Source organism: Homo sapiens, chromosome 8 (assembly GCF_000001405.40).
Source record: "Homo sapiens chromosome 8, GRCh38.p14 Primary Assembly".
In the NCBI taxonomy this organism is placed as follows: Eukaryota; Metazoa; Chordata; class Mammalia; order Primates; family Hominidae; genus Homo; species Homo sapiens.
The window spans coordinates 122,397,796-122,417,928 of NC_000008.11; the positions used below are offsets into that span (position 1 = coordinate 122,397,796).

Genomic DNA, 20,133 nt, shown 5'->3' on the forward strand with positions numbered 1-20,133 from the left:
TATTAAACATGTGTACTTCTTTGCACATAAATTATACCTCAATAAAGCTGTTAAAAGTAAAGATGTACTATGAATTTGTCAAGCACCTAGAATTGGAGGTGAGGGGAGTTTTGCAGATAAGTTTTTATATTATTTGCCATTAAAGAAACTTTATATTCTTAAATCCTGCCTATTGACATCCTTTTGACAACAGCATCACTTTACCCACTTACAAGGGCCTGGAACATGGTGGACACTTAATAAATATTTGTGGAATGAATAGACCGTAAGGTGCTTTTAACGCCTAGGCCTGGAAGTGGTGCACATTACTCTACCGACACTCCATTGGTTAAAACTCAGTCATAGGGACACATTAACTGCAATGGGCATTGAAAAATGTGTCTGGCTTCATTCCCAAGAGAAAAAAGAAATTCATATGGTTACGAGCTAGCCAATCTTTGCCACATCCATGCCCCCTGGTTTCACCTTCAAAATCCCAATTGGCAAAAATATGTACAACTGTTAGATATCAGAGAAAAAAAACTCCCCTTGAATGTTATTTAACTCTATTTAATTCATCAGGTTTCATTCAAAAAGGTGTCCTATGCAACTTAAATGTCATCAAAGAAATTGAAATTCCCTATTCTATTAAAGGAAATCACATATAGGTCAACCATATTGGGAAAACAAGCCCCCGCCTTGTTTGAAGAAGTCAAGGAAGTCAAGGGCTGGTGCAAAATCAACTATTAACATCTTAAAGAGCTAGAGGAAAAAGAAAAGTAGATAAAAATAATCACCAAATATAGTTTTAGAATTTGAAAACAAAGAAATGGCATAAAAATCACTATAAATATTCTGTTGTCCCTCTGAAGAAGATGCACACAAATATATTTATGAGGAAGATCCATATGTTTTGCAAAAAACAATGAAACTAACAAGCAGTGTGGCGATTATGTTGTTTTCCTAGGCTGTTTCTTAGATTGTTTTCCAGTGTATGCATCTGAGCAAGGATTGGCACATTTAAGCACGGAAAATAAGACAAAATAAGGATCAACTCATAAAAAACAGTTATTGTGAAAAATACCAAATGAGTCAAGTGGAAAAGTTAAACTCAGAGTCCAATGATGGGATCATGAGGCAGCCTACGTGACTTCTGTATTCCCTAGGCTTTCCCAGCAGAAACTAAGGTGCAAAGGGGAAAGCATCACACTTCCCATGGGGTATTAAGTTAAAATTACCTCGTGGAATGGATCACACTGGAAGCCTTAAGGATGACAGAAATCATAAAGTAAGAAGTAGCAAAACGGTGACGAGAGAGAGCACTGGTCCAGGAGTGAGGAGACGCAGATCCTAGCCCTTATGCCTACCTGATGTATAATGTTGAACACATTACTCACCCTCTCCAGGTTTCACATGTGGATTTAAATAACTTGAAAGCATCCTTTCAGCTTGACCTTCCATGATTCCAAGAAAACTTTCAACCTTCTCAGGTTGCTCTGAATCTTGAAGCAACTATTTTAGATGAATAAACAAGTGAAGTCATTGTTGAGACAACTACTTTAAATAAACAAATGAATCAAGCCATCACCACTGTAAACATTGCTGCTTTAAAACGATGTTTTTGTTCAAATATATTATTAAATAGAATGCTTGAACAGAGGGAGCAGGACAGAGATCAGCTTGGAAATATTATAGCCTTATGAAAATAATCTGGAAGGATTTGCTATTTATCCAAATAGGAAAAAAAAAATAGAAGTTCAGGTAAGCAACACCAAAAAGAAACAAATGAAAAAAGATCCTGATTTTGCTCCAGATAGTGACCTATCATATGAACTAGTTTTGTAGACTAATGGCAGTCTCTTACCATCCCTCATGCTTAAATTGGTGAAAGGGAGGAAAAAGAGGAACACAACCATATCCAAATTAGCTGTGCATCAGAATCACCATGGTGTTGAGCATACAACCGTTTGTAATAGTACTTTTGTGTTTGAACACTTGAAAATCACTGAGCTAAAGTAGAAATGTTAAAAAGACTTGATAGGCAGATGTACTGTTGGGGAATTTTCTGTCTTTTAAGGTAATTATTAAATCTCTAAGGAAAGTTAAAAAGGGGTGGGTAGTTTTAAATTGTTCTTGCTCTCCTGAAAGGTTTACCCTGTTCTGCTTTTTTGGCAATAATAAAGCTTTGTAATACAAATAATTTAAAAGATATGTTGTTTTGTGAAGATGGAACAGCTCTAGAGACTACATGTGTTTCAAGTGTCTGTACATGTATAATTGTATATGTATAATTCTGGGGAAGAGGCCATTGGGAAGTCTAAAGTCTAATAGTGTAGGGCATAAATAACTATTTCATTTAAAATTTTCAGGAAACCTTTAAGGAAACAGAGCCTCAGAGATGTTAAACTAGCCCAAGAGCTAGTTTTAACATCTAAAAGGTTTTTGATACCAAGCAGGTGCGTCCTCAGCAGCATCTAAAGACATGGCTGCTGCTGAGGATGCACCTGCTTGGTATCAAGAACCTTATCAGCTGCAGGTAAAACCAATGAATGCCCCTTGGAGAAATGTTCCAATCTCTCTCTCTCTCTGAAACTCTGGTGCTAAAGCTTACCAAAAAAAAAAAAAAAAAAATTCCAGAAACTTTCCAAACACCCAATAGTCTGATTCTATCAAAAGGCCCTAAAATTACCTTACCATTCATTCTAGGGATTTCTTGATTCCTAAAATAATAAATAAAATCACTATTTGCAAATCTCATTTATAGAAGAGAAATGCCTCATCTACTACTTCAAAAAAGGTTTGGTTTAAACACCACATGTTCTCACTCATAGGTGGGAATTGAACAATGAGAACACTTGGACACAGGGCGGGTAACATCACACACTGGGGCCTGTTGTGGAGTTGGGGGCTTGGGGAGGGATAGCATTAGGAGAAATACCTAATGTAAATGACGAGTTGATGGGTGCAGCAAACCAACATAGCACATGTATACCTATGTAGCAAACCTGCATGTTGTACACATGTACCCTAGAACTTAAAGTATAATAATAAAAAAAGTTTGGTTTTAGTAAAATATAATTTTCTTATTAACTACTAAAGGAAAGCCTCTATTCTGTCTTAAGTGGTTCACGGTGAGGGTCTCGGAAGGCCTAGGCTATCAGAAATTACAGCAGTAAATCCCAGGAATTAAAGATAATTTGTAACTTAAAGTACAAAGTTTTTGTACGAATAGGTTTATCACAGTTGTTCTTTCTGAGATGTATTTCACAAAAACAAACTCATTTCTTTTTGGTAGTATGTTCATAATTTTGTTCAGAATGACTTCAGCAAAGAGACTTACAGCTGAAAATGTGCTGAAATTATTTATTACATGAAATGAAGAAAAAAACTAGATGGAGAATAAATAATTCCATTATGAAATTTTCTTTTTACTCCTCAAAGTCAAGTCAGTGAAGTACACCACATCAAAAGTGTTAAGGTTACTCTTTGAGTTTTGTTTGGGAGACAACCCAGATTACATAAAATGCAAAAGCAGAAGAACCAAACGAGCAAGAATGAAATTAAGTGGAAACTGTTACAACATAAATAATGACTGACTCTGCATCTGCACAAAGGTTCGATAAACATAGGAGAGTTTCGATTAAGCTGAGGTGTATAAACACTGGGTTTTAGTCCTACGTTCTTTTTTCATAATAGATATGTCACTTTGAGCTGGTCACATAATCACTGTATTCCTCAGTTTCTTTATTTGCAAAGGAAAAAAAAATCTTCCTATGTGATAGCCTGTTTGTTTGGACCAAATGTGGACTTAAGAGTGCTTTGTAAATTCTAACACAGCATAAAACTGTTCTCCTTGACCACACAGTGTTTCCAAAAATTAAAAAGTGAATGAATTGCTATCATTTAAAAATTGGTAGGATAAATCTAGAGATTTAATGTGCAGCATGAGGACTGTAGTTAATAATATTGTACTGTGTACTGAAAATTTGCTAAGAGTAGATTTTAGGTGATCTTAACACAAGGAAAAAGAGGTAATTATGGAAGATGATGAATATGTAATTTTGTTTGACTGTACTAAGCATTTGACTATATGTATATGTGTATATCAGAACATCATGTTGTAACACCTTAAATATAAGGCAATAAAAAAGCGAAAATAGAACAGTGGGATGATATCAAACTAAAAAGCTTCTGTACAGCAAAGGAAAACATTAAGAGAGTGAAGACAGAACCACCCCCCCCAATTGAGAGAAAATGTTTGCAAATCATATATGTGATTAGGAGCTAATGTCAAAAATATATAAGGAACTCAAACTACTCAATAACAAGAAAACAAATAGCCTCATTTAAAAATGGGCAAAATAAAAAAGAATGAGATCATATCTTTTATAGGAACTTGGATGGAGCTGGAGGCCATTATCCTTAGCAAACTAACGCAAGAACAGAAAATCAAACACCTCATGTTCTCACTTATAAGTGGAAGCTAAATGATGAGAGCTTATGAACACAAAGAAGGAAACAACACACACTGGGCTCTTCTTGAGGGTGGAGGGTGGGAGGAGGGAGGACAGCAGAAAAGAGAACTATTGGGGACTGGGCATATTACCTGGATGATTAAATAATCTGTACAACAACCCCGCGTGACACGTTTACCTGTGTAACAAACATTCACATGTACCACCAAACCTAAAAGTTAAAAAAAATAGAAATTAAAATTTAAAAAATAAAGTGGGCAAAGAAACTGAATAGATATTTCTCAAACGAAGATGTAAAAATTGCTAACAGGTAAATGAAAAATGTTCACCTTCACTAATTATTAAGGAAATGCAAATTAAAACCAAATGAGCTATCAATTTGCACTTGTTAAAATGGCTATTATCGAAAGCACAAAAGGTAAGCGTTGGAGAGAATGTGAAAAAGAGGGAACGCTTGCACGCTGTTGGCAGAAATGTAAATTAGTACAGCCATTTTGAAAAACAGTATGAAGGCTCCTCAAACAAACTAAAAACAGAACTACCATATGATCCAGCAATCCCACTTCTGGGTATATATCCAAAGGAATTGAAATCAGTTTGTCAAGGAAATAACTGCATTCCTATGTCCACTGCAGCATTATTCACAATAGTCAAAATATGGAAATAACCTAAGTGTCCATCAACGGATGAGTGGATAAAGAAAATGTTGTGTGCATACCTCATGGAATACTATTCTGCCTTAAAAAGAAGAAAACTTGCAATAACATGCATGAACCCAGAAGACATTATGCTAAATAAAATAAGCCAGGCACAGAAAGACAAATACCATATGGTCTCATTTACATGTAGAATCGAAAAAAGTCAAACTCATAGAATTGGAGAGTAGAATGGTGGTTACAGAAACTGCAGGAGGAGGGATAGGAAAACAGGAGATGTTGCTCAAAGGGTGCAGAGTTTCAGTTAGGCAGGAGGAATAAGTTTTAGTAATCTATAGCACAGCTTGCTGACTATTGTTCATAATAACATATTGTATATTTCAAAATTACTAAAAGATTTTAAATGTTATCACCACGAAGAAAACTATGTGAGGTAATGGATATGTTAGTTAGCCTAATTTAATCATTCTGCAACATATACATGTCCCACAACATCACATTGCACCCTATGAATATATGTAATTATTATCTCTCAGTTAAAAATAAAATATAATTTGTAAGTGAAAAAAAGAATATTTTAAAAATCAGAATATTTCATATAAAATGTGTATTTCAGCCTTCTATTAAAAAATCAGACATTCTAGCAACACTGGCACCATATTCCTGTATAGCACAGTTGTCTGGAAGTGAGTATTAGCTGCTCTCTGGGAACAAAATTCTCTTCAGTTTCCTTAATCCCTAAAGTTCCCTATAATCTTACTCAGAGGCCATCCACATAACCTGATGGGGCCTTCAGGTATTAAGTTTACCTGCCTCCCCAAACCAAATAAATAAATAAATAAATTGCAAAGGAAGATTAGATGTTAAGGCAAATAGTTAGTAGATTTCACTATCACTACTTATTTGGAATTCTATTGCCTGGATTAGAGTTTGAGTCTGGGCTCATTAAAAAAATATAGGAGATGATCCATATACCACCCCTATACAATGAAAGTGTGTGCCAGTAAAAACAAACAAACAAAAAACATGCTGTTTAGAATGTAGTTATTCAGGCTACCAATATTAGGAGACAGATGACTCCTAATGACTCCTAATTAGGAGATGGATGACCAATATTAGGAGACAGATTACAATATTAGGAGACAGATGACTTTGCCAACAAGCATTGCCACAACTTTCCCAAATTTAACTGCAATTGTCTTTAGAGAGAAAATGTTAAAATCTGAAAAACACACACTATGTAGTTGGGAAATTATTTAAAATCTCTATGCAAGAAGGCTTAAAGCAAGCATCAAATTTGAATCAATAAGACATTTTAACTTGAGAATCTTAAAAATCACTAGATATTGTTCTAAACAAGCTAACCCCCCAATTATAACTTTTTAAACTGCAAATAATATTTTTATCTTGGAGGTAGAAATTAATTATTCAAGGCCCAAGCCAAGCCCTTTTGACTACTTCAGTGACCAGAAGAGGTCAGGTTGCTTAGACACAGACAACAATATGCCATCCAAAAATGGGAATGCCATTAGGAAACATTTCAAATTCAAGAGCAGAAATTAGCCTACTTTCTTCTTTTCTAGTGGGGAGGACCCTAGTCATTGTGAGGCAACAGACTTTAAGTAGAGGACCTTAAGACTATGTATAAGATGAAGAAGGAAATAGAAGACTATAGGATGATGGATGCCCTGGATAAGAGAGTTACCAGTTTAAGAAGGCAGACAGGCAAGAGTTCCTAGGAGCACATTCATCCAAGTCTTATCTGACTTCAGATAAGACAGAGTGCTTCTGGCTTATGGGACCAAATGGAATCAATTAAAGGGAAACACACATATACGTGATACTAACTTATCTAATGGGATTGACTGATTGATTTTCTTTCTTTCTTTTTTCCCTCCCTGCCTCCCTCTCTCCCTTCCTTCCTTCTTTCTTTTGTTTTTTGCACTGCTCATTTTCAAATATTCTTGGTTCCAAATGTTAGTTTCCATTTGCATAGTCAGGCCATGGGACAACACAGATGATCTACCTTCTGTGTGAGCCTCTCTGTCTCTGACACCACTTAATGCCAGAGAAGCCACAGTGTGCAACTCAACCCTTTCCTGCAACTGGACAGTAGGCTTCACCTGGTCATTGCTTTTTTTTTTTCCAGTCTAAAATGGATGGACACAAGGCCTCAACCACTTTTCTGTTCTCAATTCTAAAGCTTGTTTGTCCAAAAAAATCAGCTCCTCTACATCTAGGTACAGCTCCTGGATCTAGTCAAACAAATCAGAAGAGACATTGCCACAGACCTCATGATTTCCACAGGCTTACTTCAGTAGAGTTTGATTGTCTGTCAACTGTCTTTCTAGCTGGTGGTTGGTTGCTTCACCAGTTGGTTGGTTCGGTTAACAAGAGATCTTTTCTGGTTATACATAACCTGAAAGTTATTTTCTAGAGAGAAAATCGAGAAGGGAATATAAAACTTTTCCTACCACTAATGTGTAGTCGGGAGAGTGCAAAATAGTGAGAAGTTCTGATTAGCAAGGGGGAAGAACAGAGACATCAGTTTCAAGAGATAGCAGCTTTGAGTTTATTTTGTAGAATACAAAGTAGTTCTTAAAATGTGGGGATCATGGACATCCTCTGAAGACACTAAGAAAACCATGAGCCTTCTCTCTCTAAAAATGCACAATATTAGGCAGTTAAGAACTCTCTAACCCAATCCATATACTTTAAGACATACATGGACCTCAAATGAAAATCCACAGTGAAGAATATAAATAAACATGCATCTGTTTTCAATCAAAATCTTGGTAGAAACATCAGTTATACTATCTAGTTAACAGAAAATCTGTAAGAGAGACGTTTGTCATATCAAAATATCATTTGGCATACTACAAATATATATAATTTTACTTATCAATTAAAATTAAATTAAGAAAAATCTTAAAAGAAAAATGCATCATGATCAACCAGGAGTGCAAGGAGAGCTTAATATTTTAAAATATATCCAAATTTATCACATCTGCAGACCAAAGGAAATAAACCATATGAGCACCTTGATTACTGACATTTGATAAAGTTAAACAATCAATTCTATACATATATACTTAAAAAAAGAAGTCTTAGAATCTAAGAATAAAAAAATCCTTCTTTATCATGCTGAAGAATGTCTATTTCAAATGAACAACCAACGTAATACTTACTAAGTGTTCCTATGCTTTCAAGAATTAGTCAAATTTTCCACTACAACCACTATCATTAACTATTATTTAAATTTTGGAGACAGTCACATCCAATACAGAAAGATAATATAAACAGAGAGAGAGAGAGACTTTTGGGTAATTACCAACTGAAAGATTAAAAATTTAGTGCAACTTGGATTCAAAATGCTCATGCACAGGAGGGATTATTATTTATTTTTCCTATTTTACAGATTAGAAACTGAGGCCTAGAAAAGGTAAGTTGCCCAAGTTTACTGGCTAATAAGTAATAAAGCTAGAATTCTAATGTACCAAAAATCTATGTTAATGGTGGCCTACTTGTGACTCACCTCAAAATACATTAATGTATACTCAGCAGGGTTCATAAGCAGTAAGATTTTTTTTCTCTTTACTTTGTAAAATCACTTAATCTACATAAATAATTCATATCTTGATTGACGTTCACATGACATCAAAAAAAGTGAAAAGTTCTATAAAAGGCAGAAGAAGAAGGAAGACTATTTTGTCTTCAATCAAGATAAGACTATTATTAATTTATTTTTAAGACACTGACTAAATATGTGATATAATAATAAAAAAAAGCATAAGGGTGTCTGGATCCTTGCATTCTTGCTAAATCTCTATCAGCTACTAGCCAAATAACTTGCCTGAGCCCTCATTTCCTTCATCTGTATACTGAAGGTGCTGACATAAATATTTTCTAAGATTCTATGAGCCTGTGACTCAAGTTAGTGATAGAGAACTTTGGAAGGCAACCTAAAGTTTAGGGTTCTGCTAACATATCATTCCAAGGACTTGTCCCTAATGGACCAAGACTGGGCTGGGTGTCCCCTCTGTGTTCCCTTGGAGTCCTCTACTTCTAATACAACACTTGTTACACTATTTATGTGATCATCTTTTTATCTTATTAAAATGTAAGTTCTTCATATGGACACAGGGAGGGGAACATTACACACCGGGGCCTGTTGTGGGGTGGGGGGCAAGGGGAGGGAGAGCATTTGGACAAATACGTAATGCATGCAGGGCTTAAAACCTAGATGATGGGTTGATAGGTATAGCAAACCACCATGGCACATGTATACCTATGTAACAAACCTGCATGTTCTGCACATGTATCCCGGAACTTAAATTTTTTTTTAAAAAAGTAAGTTCTTTGAACACAGAGGCCTGAGTCATTTTACCATTTGTTGGAGAAGCAGAATAGCATATGGGGCAAGAGCACATACTCTGAAACAACACTGCACTGCCTTTCACATCCAGATCCACTGTCTCTAGCTTTGTGTCCTTGGGAGAGTTAGCCAACCACTCTTTGCCTTGAAATCCTCATATGCAAAATGGAGATAATGATGACACCTAACACACAGAGTTGTTGTGAGGTTTATGTAAGCTACGGCATGCAAATCATTTACAAGAGGAATTGTCACGTAACAGGCAATAAAGTCAGGTATTATTATTATCACTGGTGTCTGACTTTTCTGGTATGTAGTAGATACCCAGATATTTCTTAAAAAAAAGTGAAAGATTAACTGTTTTCACAACATTTAAGATGTGAAACCAAAAGACTTCAAATTAATAACAAATGCCTATGACTTTGGTTTAATACAAAATGAGGTACCTCTATTACCTAGACTCATACTTTATGTTATTTTAGGATGTATTTAGGAGCACTGTTGAGTAGTAACTCAAAATGTTCTGTGGCTGCTTTAAGGTTTTAAGCTCTGGTAAAACCCTGCCCAAACTTCATAGATGAGAGGTTATGGCAAAGGGAATCATCCCACTTGCCAACCATCTACCTTGGGATATATACATGAACAAAGACTCCAGTGGGATTTGCTCAGATGAGAGACTTGGAAGCGCTATGAAAAATATCTATGGCATGACATTTTCTGACGGGAGCATGGCCTCAACTCTTCTTTCTAGTTAATGAGCCTTAATTTATGAAAGCTCCTGTCTTGGTAGGTTTTGCATCATTCTTCACTGCAAATCCCTTCATTCTGTTTCCACTCTGTGCCTGGGTATGTGATCATAATATTGCCAGTTTTCCTAATACAATGCTGCTAACTCACTTATCACAATAAGCCCCTTTAGAATAAATTAAGCTTGCAAAGCATGTTTTGGTGTACCACATCTTTAGCTAAATAGACATATATATATATACCCAAAATAACTTTTAGAAATCTGTTACCGTGTCACTGAGATAAATAGCCCCATATTTTAGCTTCTCTGTGCTCAGAAAAAAATAAAATCCTAATAGCAAGTTCTTATTAATTATTTCATGAACAGGACAAACATTTAAAAGGGAGCATTTTTTAAAGGTATCCAAGAGATATTAACTGCTGTTTCTCCAAGAAATAATTTCTATGCTTCATAAAGAAAATTCTGTTTCATACACATTTAAGCTCGATTTTCTTCAACAGATGCTGGAGTAGAAAGGTACCACCCTGCTCCATGTAAGCATAGATTCTTAACTGTGTACTCTCTAGAATTTTGACCTGAAGTTAGGGGAGATAATAAAAGTGGGGGGTTGGGACTCACCTCCTTGAGCAAGTGTCTTGACCTCTCTGAGCTTCAGTTTTCCTGTTAGGTAACCAGAGGACTGCCAACTTACCATTCCACTATAGTATCCCATAATCCTATAATCTCACCTCTGTTGACCATTAGACCAAGTAAAATGATTTGCCTTCTTTCACTCAGTAATAAGCAAACTATACTGACAAAATACATAGCATACATCTTAACTTTGAAATATTTGGCTTCCAATGTGGTTTCTTAAAACAATAATGATGCTATGGCAGTTTTATTTGTCAGTAGGTTGACATTAAATTGTTTTCTCAGCTGTGTTAAGCAACAAGAATCAGTTCCCACATGTTTATCACATGGACTATGATTTATAATTCCCAAAATAAACTTGATATTTTCTTTCACTTATATATTTTTAAATTTTAATTCGAATGCCATTTGAAGTCTTTTGGTTTCACATTTCGAATGCCAAGTATTACTCCTTTAAAAGCTTTCTTAATGACTATATCAAAGTACAAGAGGAATCTTCAAATATACTCTCTTATGCTGCTTCAAAATACATTCTTTCCAGTTGTAGAAAATGAAGCAAATAACAATGAACATATAATGCTGCATATGCACTACGATGAAAGAACTGGCAAAGTTGCTTCAAAAAAAGCTCTTAACAATTGGTCTGTACACTGTCACCAAGGCAACACCAAATGCTGACAGACAAAAATGCATTAACTTTCAGTGTGAACATATTTTAGGTAAGCTTAATTGTGAAAGAAATTAGATCAGAGTCTGATTTTATGAGAAAAGGCAGAACCTTACCCAAATTTCCTCCTGCAATGGGATGTGGTCTGTTTTCAGGGGTTGAACAATCCCTAGACTTCCGTTCAATAACTCACCATAATGTCCTGCAAGACATATTCATCCCAGCATCATTGCCACCACCAGCTACCACAATGCATGACTAGTCCATCAAGAAATAAGAGGCCTGGTGAAATCAGGTGGTTAGCTAAAAGAAGTAGAATATTCCCAGGCTCTTTTACACATATCTTTTAAACTAGATTTCTTGAGATTTTTCCCAAGGCTAAAATGGAAGACCGTATCATGTTTTCTAAGGAGAGTTTCTTTATTAATTTGATTACTAATAAATGTAGCAACTGAAAATAGATTATAGAGGACAGGGGTTGACACTTTTAATAAAATAGTACTTTAGAATAACCCATAAAAAATGACAGGGTCAGATAAGTTTGTTTGGGGAGAAAAGTATTGTTTGGGATGAAAAATACTGTTTTCGAAAATAATCTACACGTGTAGCGCTTTATAAAGATGTTCTGTGTCCTGTAGTGTAATGCTAGCATGAATTAATACAAGCAAATCAAAAGGTTGAAAGATGATTTTATCATTGGATTTGCTTCTAAATGTACAGCTAAAATTTGAGTCAGAGTTTCAGTTATTCTGTTAAAACTAAAAGCAGTGGTTCTAACCTCATATGTTGTGAACATGCATTAGATTATCCACAAGTGTTTCTTGAATGAATGATGAAAAACTGAACATTGTTTTTCTATTCAAGTTATGTCTAGATACCTCCTGCAGTCTGAGATTGCAGTCAAGGAGCAAGATGCTGATAAACATGCTGCTTACATAAACATAGCTGAGGCCCATGAGAAGATTTTTTTTAAAATTATACTTTAAGTTCTGGGGTACATGTGCAGAACGTGCAGGTTTGTTACATAGGTATACAAGTGCCGTGGTGGTTTGCTGCACCCGTTAACCTGTCATCTACATTAGGTATTTCTCCTAATGCTATCCCTCTCCTTGCTACCCACACACTGACAGACCCCGGTATATGATGTTCCCCTCCCTGTGCCCGTATGTTCTCACTGTTCAACTCCCACTTATGAGTGAGAACATGCAGTGTTTGGTCTTCTGTTCCTGTGTTAGTTTGCTGAGAATGATGGTTTCCAGCTTCATCCATGTCCCTGCAAAGGGCATGAACTCATTGTTTCTTATGGCTGCATAGTACTCCATGGTGTATATGTGCCATATTTTCTTCATCCAGTCTAACATTGATGGGCATTTTGGTTGGTTCTGAGTCTTTGCTATTGTGAATAGTGCTACAATAAACATACATATGCATGTGTCTTTCTAAATTCTACCACAGGTTCTGTAACCAATTAATTGCATAAGCTGAAATTTGTGACATAAAATCACAAATGCATGTTTTACCTCTCTCCGCAAGCCTTATCTCCATCTCTACACTTAGATAAAAATTCAGGAAGCTCCATAACTTAAACTTAAAAATCTGCATCTTTGCCTGGCATTTTACTTTGATATTTCATATCTATTGGATCCAGTTGCCACAGTTGAAATTTTGAATTCAATATCTCGTTACTTACCCAGAGCTTGTGTTTCACTTTGAAATTTTTGTTATGGAAAAAAAAAGTGATGCCTGCATTCTTTGGGGAAAATGCAAAACTTGAGTGAGGAGCACGGGGGAACAGAAGAAATGAGTGGAGAAAAATTTTTTAAAAATAGAACAGAGTACAGTGAGTTGTCATTTTTGGTGTCATACCACAATCACATGGATTACTTTGACTTTCGATAATTGTAAAAATAGACCAAATATATGTATGTGCTTGCACACCCACAACCATATACATACATTCTACTTACTCTTATAGAATTAAATAAGAAACTTGTCTTCCATAATTATTTATGTTTTCAATATGAACTAGATCAGTGATGTAAAAAAGTGAGCATCAACATACCAGATAAAACACAAACAAGTGATAGACTCAAATTTTTAAAAAATGAATGACGTAGCTATTTCTACTTTTATTCTATCTCCACAAAGCAAACTTAAGAATTCATTTAAAGTGTGTTCTACGGATTTTATACCAAAAATATGGGTATAGAAAATAGTGTGTGAGGGCCTACTATTCAATAATAATGCTGTCAGAGTACTGTTGCCTGGACGTTCTCCATGGTGGCTTATTTTCTTTATGTTAACATAGGATTATCTGACAGAAAGCAAAGCTTTTAAGGAAAGCAATGCATTTAGCTGTTAATCAGACAACCACATCTTAGTGTGCACCAGAGTACTGCCTGTGTACCACAATTGTTTTTAGTTTTTTTTTTTTTTTTTTTTTTTTTTGAGACAGAGTCTCACTCTGTCATCCAGGCTGGAGTGCAGTGGTGCCATCTCAGCTCACTGCAACCTCTGCCTCCCAAGTTCAAGCCATTCTCCTGTCTCAGCCTCTAAAGTAGCTGGGATTAAAGGCATGCACCACCACATCCTGCTAATTTTTGTATTTTTAGTAGAGTCAGGGTTTCACCATGTTGGCCAGGCTGGTCTCGAACTTCTGACCTCAGGTGATCTGCCCACCTCGGCCTCCCAAAGTGCTGGGATTACAGGCATGAGCCACTGCACCCGGCAAGAATTGTTATATTTTAGATAGCATCCTGTGTAGAGAGCTATAGCATTAAGTGCTGAGCACTGCTTAGAATGAAGGTCTAGGAAATTAGGAGTGGAAAAGTACAAGGGATGGATGAAGATGATGAAAGTGGATCCTAAATATTTCTGTATTTAGTAGGCATCTCAAAATGATTAAGATTAAGCTAAAATACTTAATTTCCCCTACAAAACTCTTCCTCCTTCATTCTTCCATCCTTCTTAAGTGGCACTATCAGTTACTCACCAAGTTACTCAAGCCAAAAAATCTGTGAGTCCGCCTAGATTCCTCTTTCCTTCAGCCTCCACATCAAATTCCATAGCACATCCCGTTGTTTGACACCATCTCCATATAATATCTGAGATCCATAAACATTTGTTGAGTCAATCAATGAATTCATTTTGGTCTGGCTTAGGCTATGCCTATATGATGCTAACATACTTAGGAGCAAAGTAAGAAACACAATCAATCGCCCAGATATTTTATGCATGGAAGATTTAACCTTGAGACACTTGAGGATGTGTAAATAACTTGGTTTTCTACTGAGTAACCTGAAAACACAACAGCAGAGATATGCAAACTTAGATTTTCAAGTTCTCAGAGACTGAGTCTGTGTAAGACTTATTCTTCTTAGTCAATTCTAAGTATAGATCAGTTCATACATTGAGTATTAATTGTAACTTATTGAGTGTCTGCCATGTGCCAGGCACTTTGCTCAAATGTTCTTGAGAGCAGTAAACAAGACACAGCTCTTGCCCTCATGCAGCTTACATTCAGGTGTTTACTTTGTATGATGAAGCAGTTGGAGAAAATAAACACAGTAATAAAAGTAAATAAGTTAACATACAATTATTTGGTTTACTAGAGCCTTTATAATTAACCGAGAATTTTTTTAAAATGAGATCCATTAAGAGTTGTTTTATTTGTTTTTAATATGTATCTTCTATGTGCCAGGTACTGTCCTTGGTGCTAAACATACAGAAAGAAATGAAGTACCATTCTGCCTTCTAGATGTTCACTAATAAGGGAAATTGTATGTATATAAATAAGCATTTTACACTCAATAAATTAAGAGAAATACACATCCAGGATTAACTAGATTGAGAAGTCATCTCTTCCTATTTGAATATGAAGAAAAGATTATGAATAACATTAACTATAAACTAATGGATATCTGCCAATAAAAATTGTGGATTAGCATGAGAACCTAATAATCATTTTGCTAATAATAATGATTTACATGTATTGAGTGTTCACACACAGTGTCAAGTGTTGTTCATATATTATATAACTTGATTCTCATTCATTTTCTATGAGGTAGGTATTATTATCCCCAGCTTACATATGAGGAAACTAAATCTAAAAGAACTTAAGTAATATGCTGACACTAAACTTACACAATCTTTAAGTGGCTGAGCTGGGATTACAAAGATAATTCAGGCATTTTCCCCACAGTAGGGTCACCTGAGGTGGTCTTCAAAGAAAAAGTAATTTTAGACATTCAGAGATTGAAAGGAAAGGCATTCCAGGTATAACAAATAGTTTTTACTTCTAACTATGGTTGTGTATGGGCCTGGCCCAGAAGAATGGAAGACAAATCTTCAGTAATCAGTGCTGAAATCAAAACCACGTGTATTTACCTACATGATTATAAGCCCCTGTTCAACAAAGAAGAGAAATATACACAGGATTTTACATAGATTTTGATAGATATTATAGTTTTTATATTGAAATTGGCTTTGGATATCCAATTCTTGTCCTAGGTTTACCCAAAGCCAAGACTGAAAAGTAATGACATTGAGGTAAGAAGGAGTAAACATTCTGAAAAAGAATTAATCAGAAAACAATGGGGAATACATTTGGTGAGGAAACACAAAGGAAGCTCCACTTGCCAAAGAGACTTAAAAGTAAAAATATGTTCCCACAAGGCATAGCATAAAATTGACAAGATTTTACTCAAGATTATGAAATACCTCAAACCACAATATCAACACTGAGAAATACACAGTTGAATCATCTGCTTTTCTCTTAGGAAAAAACAAACAGACTAGGCTTGGTACATCAGGAAGAAAATGCACAAATAATAGAGAAGATTTCAGACAGACCACTTATGGCTAAGGCAAAACTCATTGACCATATACAGAAAATTATGAGACATACACAAAATTTCAGTATCTTAAAAGATTAAAGATTTTCACATGGGGATGGAGTGTTGTATAGTTAATTACTCATATATTTAGAGTTTCTACATCATAACATTCTTGTAGTTGGGTGAGAGTCATTTTCATAGGTAATCCGATCAACTATTTTGGCCAAAACTCAGATGATTATTTTCTTTTCGAAGAGACCATTACCACATCTTCCAAGAAGGAGTTGCCCAACATCTCAGAAACGAACACAGATTAAGTTGCAGACACCTTCCAAACATCCATGTAAATTATGGAATTCAGTCTTGGTTCCCTAAAATGGGAGTTTTCATCTCTGAAAATGTAATAGACAAAAAGCTTCTGTTCACATATATAATACCTTGCTCTCTCCTACCCAAGGGAAGAGGGCCAACTTAAAACCTGATTGGTGAGCCTGGCAGACAAATATGAACATGTCTAGCTCAGCAGCCTTTTCCCTTCTGTTGTGAAATCTACCTATTCATGAAACTAATGAATTTGGTTCTGGACTTTACACTGGAATGTAAGAACTCATGGGTTAGGGCTCATCTGCTGAGCATTTTATTTCTGTGATTACAATATTGGAGTTTCTGTACTAAATTTAAGGTGCTGTTTCTGCTTGTCTTCTCTGCAGAACTCAACTCCTTCTACTGGGTTAACTCTATGTCTAGAATTAAGGAGGTAACAATGGAAGGCTCCATCTTCTTGGTGAATCCAAGGAGCATTCTACAATTCACTTTTACCAATTATAGAGCTAACATTTCTAAATCTCTATCTCTGTGACTCTTGTATCTTTTTATTAATTTGTTCCAAACACAAAAGGAACAGTCAGAACCATAAATAATTATCACTCCCCTAACCCCCAAAATAGTTATCCAATACAAAGATTCATAGTTAGACCCTAGCAACTTTAAAAATCAGGCAATAGGAAATAAGTGCCCCTTGGGTTTTGCCACTTGTTCTGGACTCTTATTTTGGTGCCATCTCTTAAAAATCACTATAATCTCAAGCAAAGACTCACTCCTCTATAGTTTTTTCCTCATCTCTACCAGTAGGATAATAATACATCAAAAGTTATCACGGGGCTTAGTTGAGCTAAGTACAGTGGCTGACACATAATACATACTGGAAATCTGTTATTAATATTAAGAAACTGTGTTTCTGTTACCTGAACAAACAAAAATTCATCATTAGTCTCGGGGATGAAAGAGGTAAAGAACAGGTACTAGAAGCATATTGAAGGAAAACAAGAGTCAATTTCTAAAATTGAACTCAATAATTCACATATAGACCATTAAGAGTACTACATTTACACCAGAAGAAATGTATTTATTTTCAAAGAAAATTTGAGTTATTTCAGACCCATAGATCTAAGTACAGCTGAATATTAAATCAAAAGACTTCGTTAAACAAAACAAATGGAATTTATTAATTCGTCGTATAATTATTGTGTCTCTCTAAAGTGCCAGTTACTGTTTTAGCTGCTGAGGATACAGCAGTGAACATGACAAATATGAGTGTAAACACGCACAAAGTTAACTGCTTGTTAATGAGCTATTCCCAGTACAATACAATATGCTTTATCTAATGTCATTCTTATCCATCAAACTCTAAAGTTGCCTCTAGCTTGTAACAAAAATGTGTTTATACAAATCTGTTCCTGCCCTTCCACTACTGCCAAGGAAACACTTTCCAAGGCCATGTATTTTTCCTAGCAGTTATTTAATGGTTACAACTAACTGGGGCAGATCACTACAACTACTGTGCATACATGGGTTTTTTTTTTTTTTTTTTTTTGCTTACTTCAGACACGCTGCCCTTTTTTTATTCCAGCAAAAATTTTATTACAATTAGCATGACTAATTAAAGTTCAAGAAACAGTATGCTTTCTTTTTCAAGTTCCTAAGATGACAGCATCCTGCATCCACTAAGGAAAGAATCATCAGAAGCCAAATGCTGCTACCCAAGTTGCCTTGCTCTGGCATAATTATTCCAGCTGTGAGTTTAAAAAAAAAAAAGGACTTTAAAGGGGAATAGACATAAGGAAGCTCCTGGGTCTATTATCTGGAGACATAAATATCTTAATCTTAATATCTGTTTTGTGTAACAAACTAATACTTAGTGATTAACACAAAATAGCATTATTGTCTCCCATAGTTGTGAGATTGATCTCATCTGGACCACTTGTGCAGTTGCAGTCAGGGGTAACCTGAGGCTGCAATAATCAGAAGTCTTAACTGAGTTAGACATCCAGCCATTCACTTAACTGGAAATTAAGGCTGGTTATTGGCTGGCAGCTCACCTGAAGATGCAGACTAGCTTGCCAAAACATGGTTTCTCCATGTGACTTGCACTTCTCATAGAACAGTGGCTTGGTTCCCGTAGTAAGCATTCCAAGTGATCCAGAAAGAAGATACAAGACTTCTTAAGATCTAACCTCACAAGTCGCAAAAGTCACTTCTGTGGCACATTATATTGGTTAACAAAGTTGCTAATTTCATCCCAGTTTCAAGAGTACAGGAGAAGTAGTATGTGCGGATAGAGGAAAAAAAAAATAATGGTGGCCATCTCTAGATGTTACCTACCACAGCCATGCTCTGGCCATTACAATTCATATCCATCATATGCAAATCACACTTGCTTTACTCCCAAGACCTCCAAGGTTTCATCAACTCAAAGTCCAGGATGATGTCATCTAAATCAGATTCGAGTTTAGGTGAGACTCGTGAGTGTAGCTTCTTGGTTTCAGCAACTTGAATACAGTTTCTCTCAAACTCTGTGAACTAAAGACACAAATTATTTCCTACATATCTATCTAATGGTGATAAGATAAATACAATAAACACATGCATTCAAATTCAGTGGTGGGAGGGGAGCTGAAAGCACATAGAAGTCACTGCTTCCTAGTAATTCTGAAGTCCAGCTAGGCATATATCACCATTTCTTTGATGATGATGCAGTCCTGCTGCCTGGGACTTTGTGATTCTTGACTTTTTACTCTGTCATCCTTCCTTTTTTTTAAACAAATAGCTTGTGTTTTCAGTTGAATAGGTTTTACAGCTTTCTTCTTATCCAAGAAAAGTTTGGAGTCCTGAGAGCTCTTTTCATTTTGAATTGTCATTGTCCTTTTAAGTTCAATCTGATAGAACTTCAACAATATGGTTCTCTTACAAAGTGCGTGGATCTCCTATGAATCCTGTAATTTATTTCAACAGACAAAAGTTATACCCACAAATCTCTTTGAAACTTTACCCTCTCTGACCTGGGTTGAGAACTAGGTTGTTGAGGGTCAATACCCTTTATGATGTATCTAATTGAAGAGGGTCTCTAAGGCATGTCCTTAAAACTTTCTGAAGTCTCAGTAAAAGATCTTGCAACTATGCCCTTAAGTTAATCTTTGCTTTCAAGTCATCTCTTATTTTAAGAACCTTTTACTCTGTGAAAAGGCTGGGAATAGAAATGGTTGTATTTTAAAAACCATAAAGCCATGGTTCATTTACACTTCCCCTAAATTCTACTTGAAAACTAAACAGTTCCTTTTGTTAGTCCATTTCTCTCTAGCTTTACCTTATCATAGGTGCCTGAAAGCAACCAGCAATGCCTTGAATAGTCTGCCTGAAAATCACCTTAACAAAATTCACCAGTTCATTAGGTATGTTTATATTTTCCATGTTACTTTCGAGGACAGT

At 35.7% G+C, this 20,133-nt stretch overlaps 1 long non-coding RNA gene across 1 annotated transcript in view; it reads right to left on the minus strand.

Moving 5' to 3' along the window:
• Positions 1-16,531: 16,531 nt before the first annotated feature.
• SMILR (smooth muscle induced lncRNA, enhancer of proliferation) overlaps positions 16,532-20,133 on the minus strand; it is a 154,318-nt gene continuing 150,716 nt past the window's right edge. The window contains exons 3-4 of the long non-coding RNA NR_131202.1: positions 19,030-19,227; positions 16,532-16,739 (exon numbers count right to left, since the gene is read on the minus strand). This is a non-coding gene — a long non-coding RNA (smooth muscle induced lncRNA, enhancer of proliferation). The remainder of the gene's footprint in view (positions 16,740-19,029; positions 19,228-20,133) is intronic.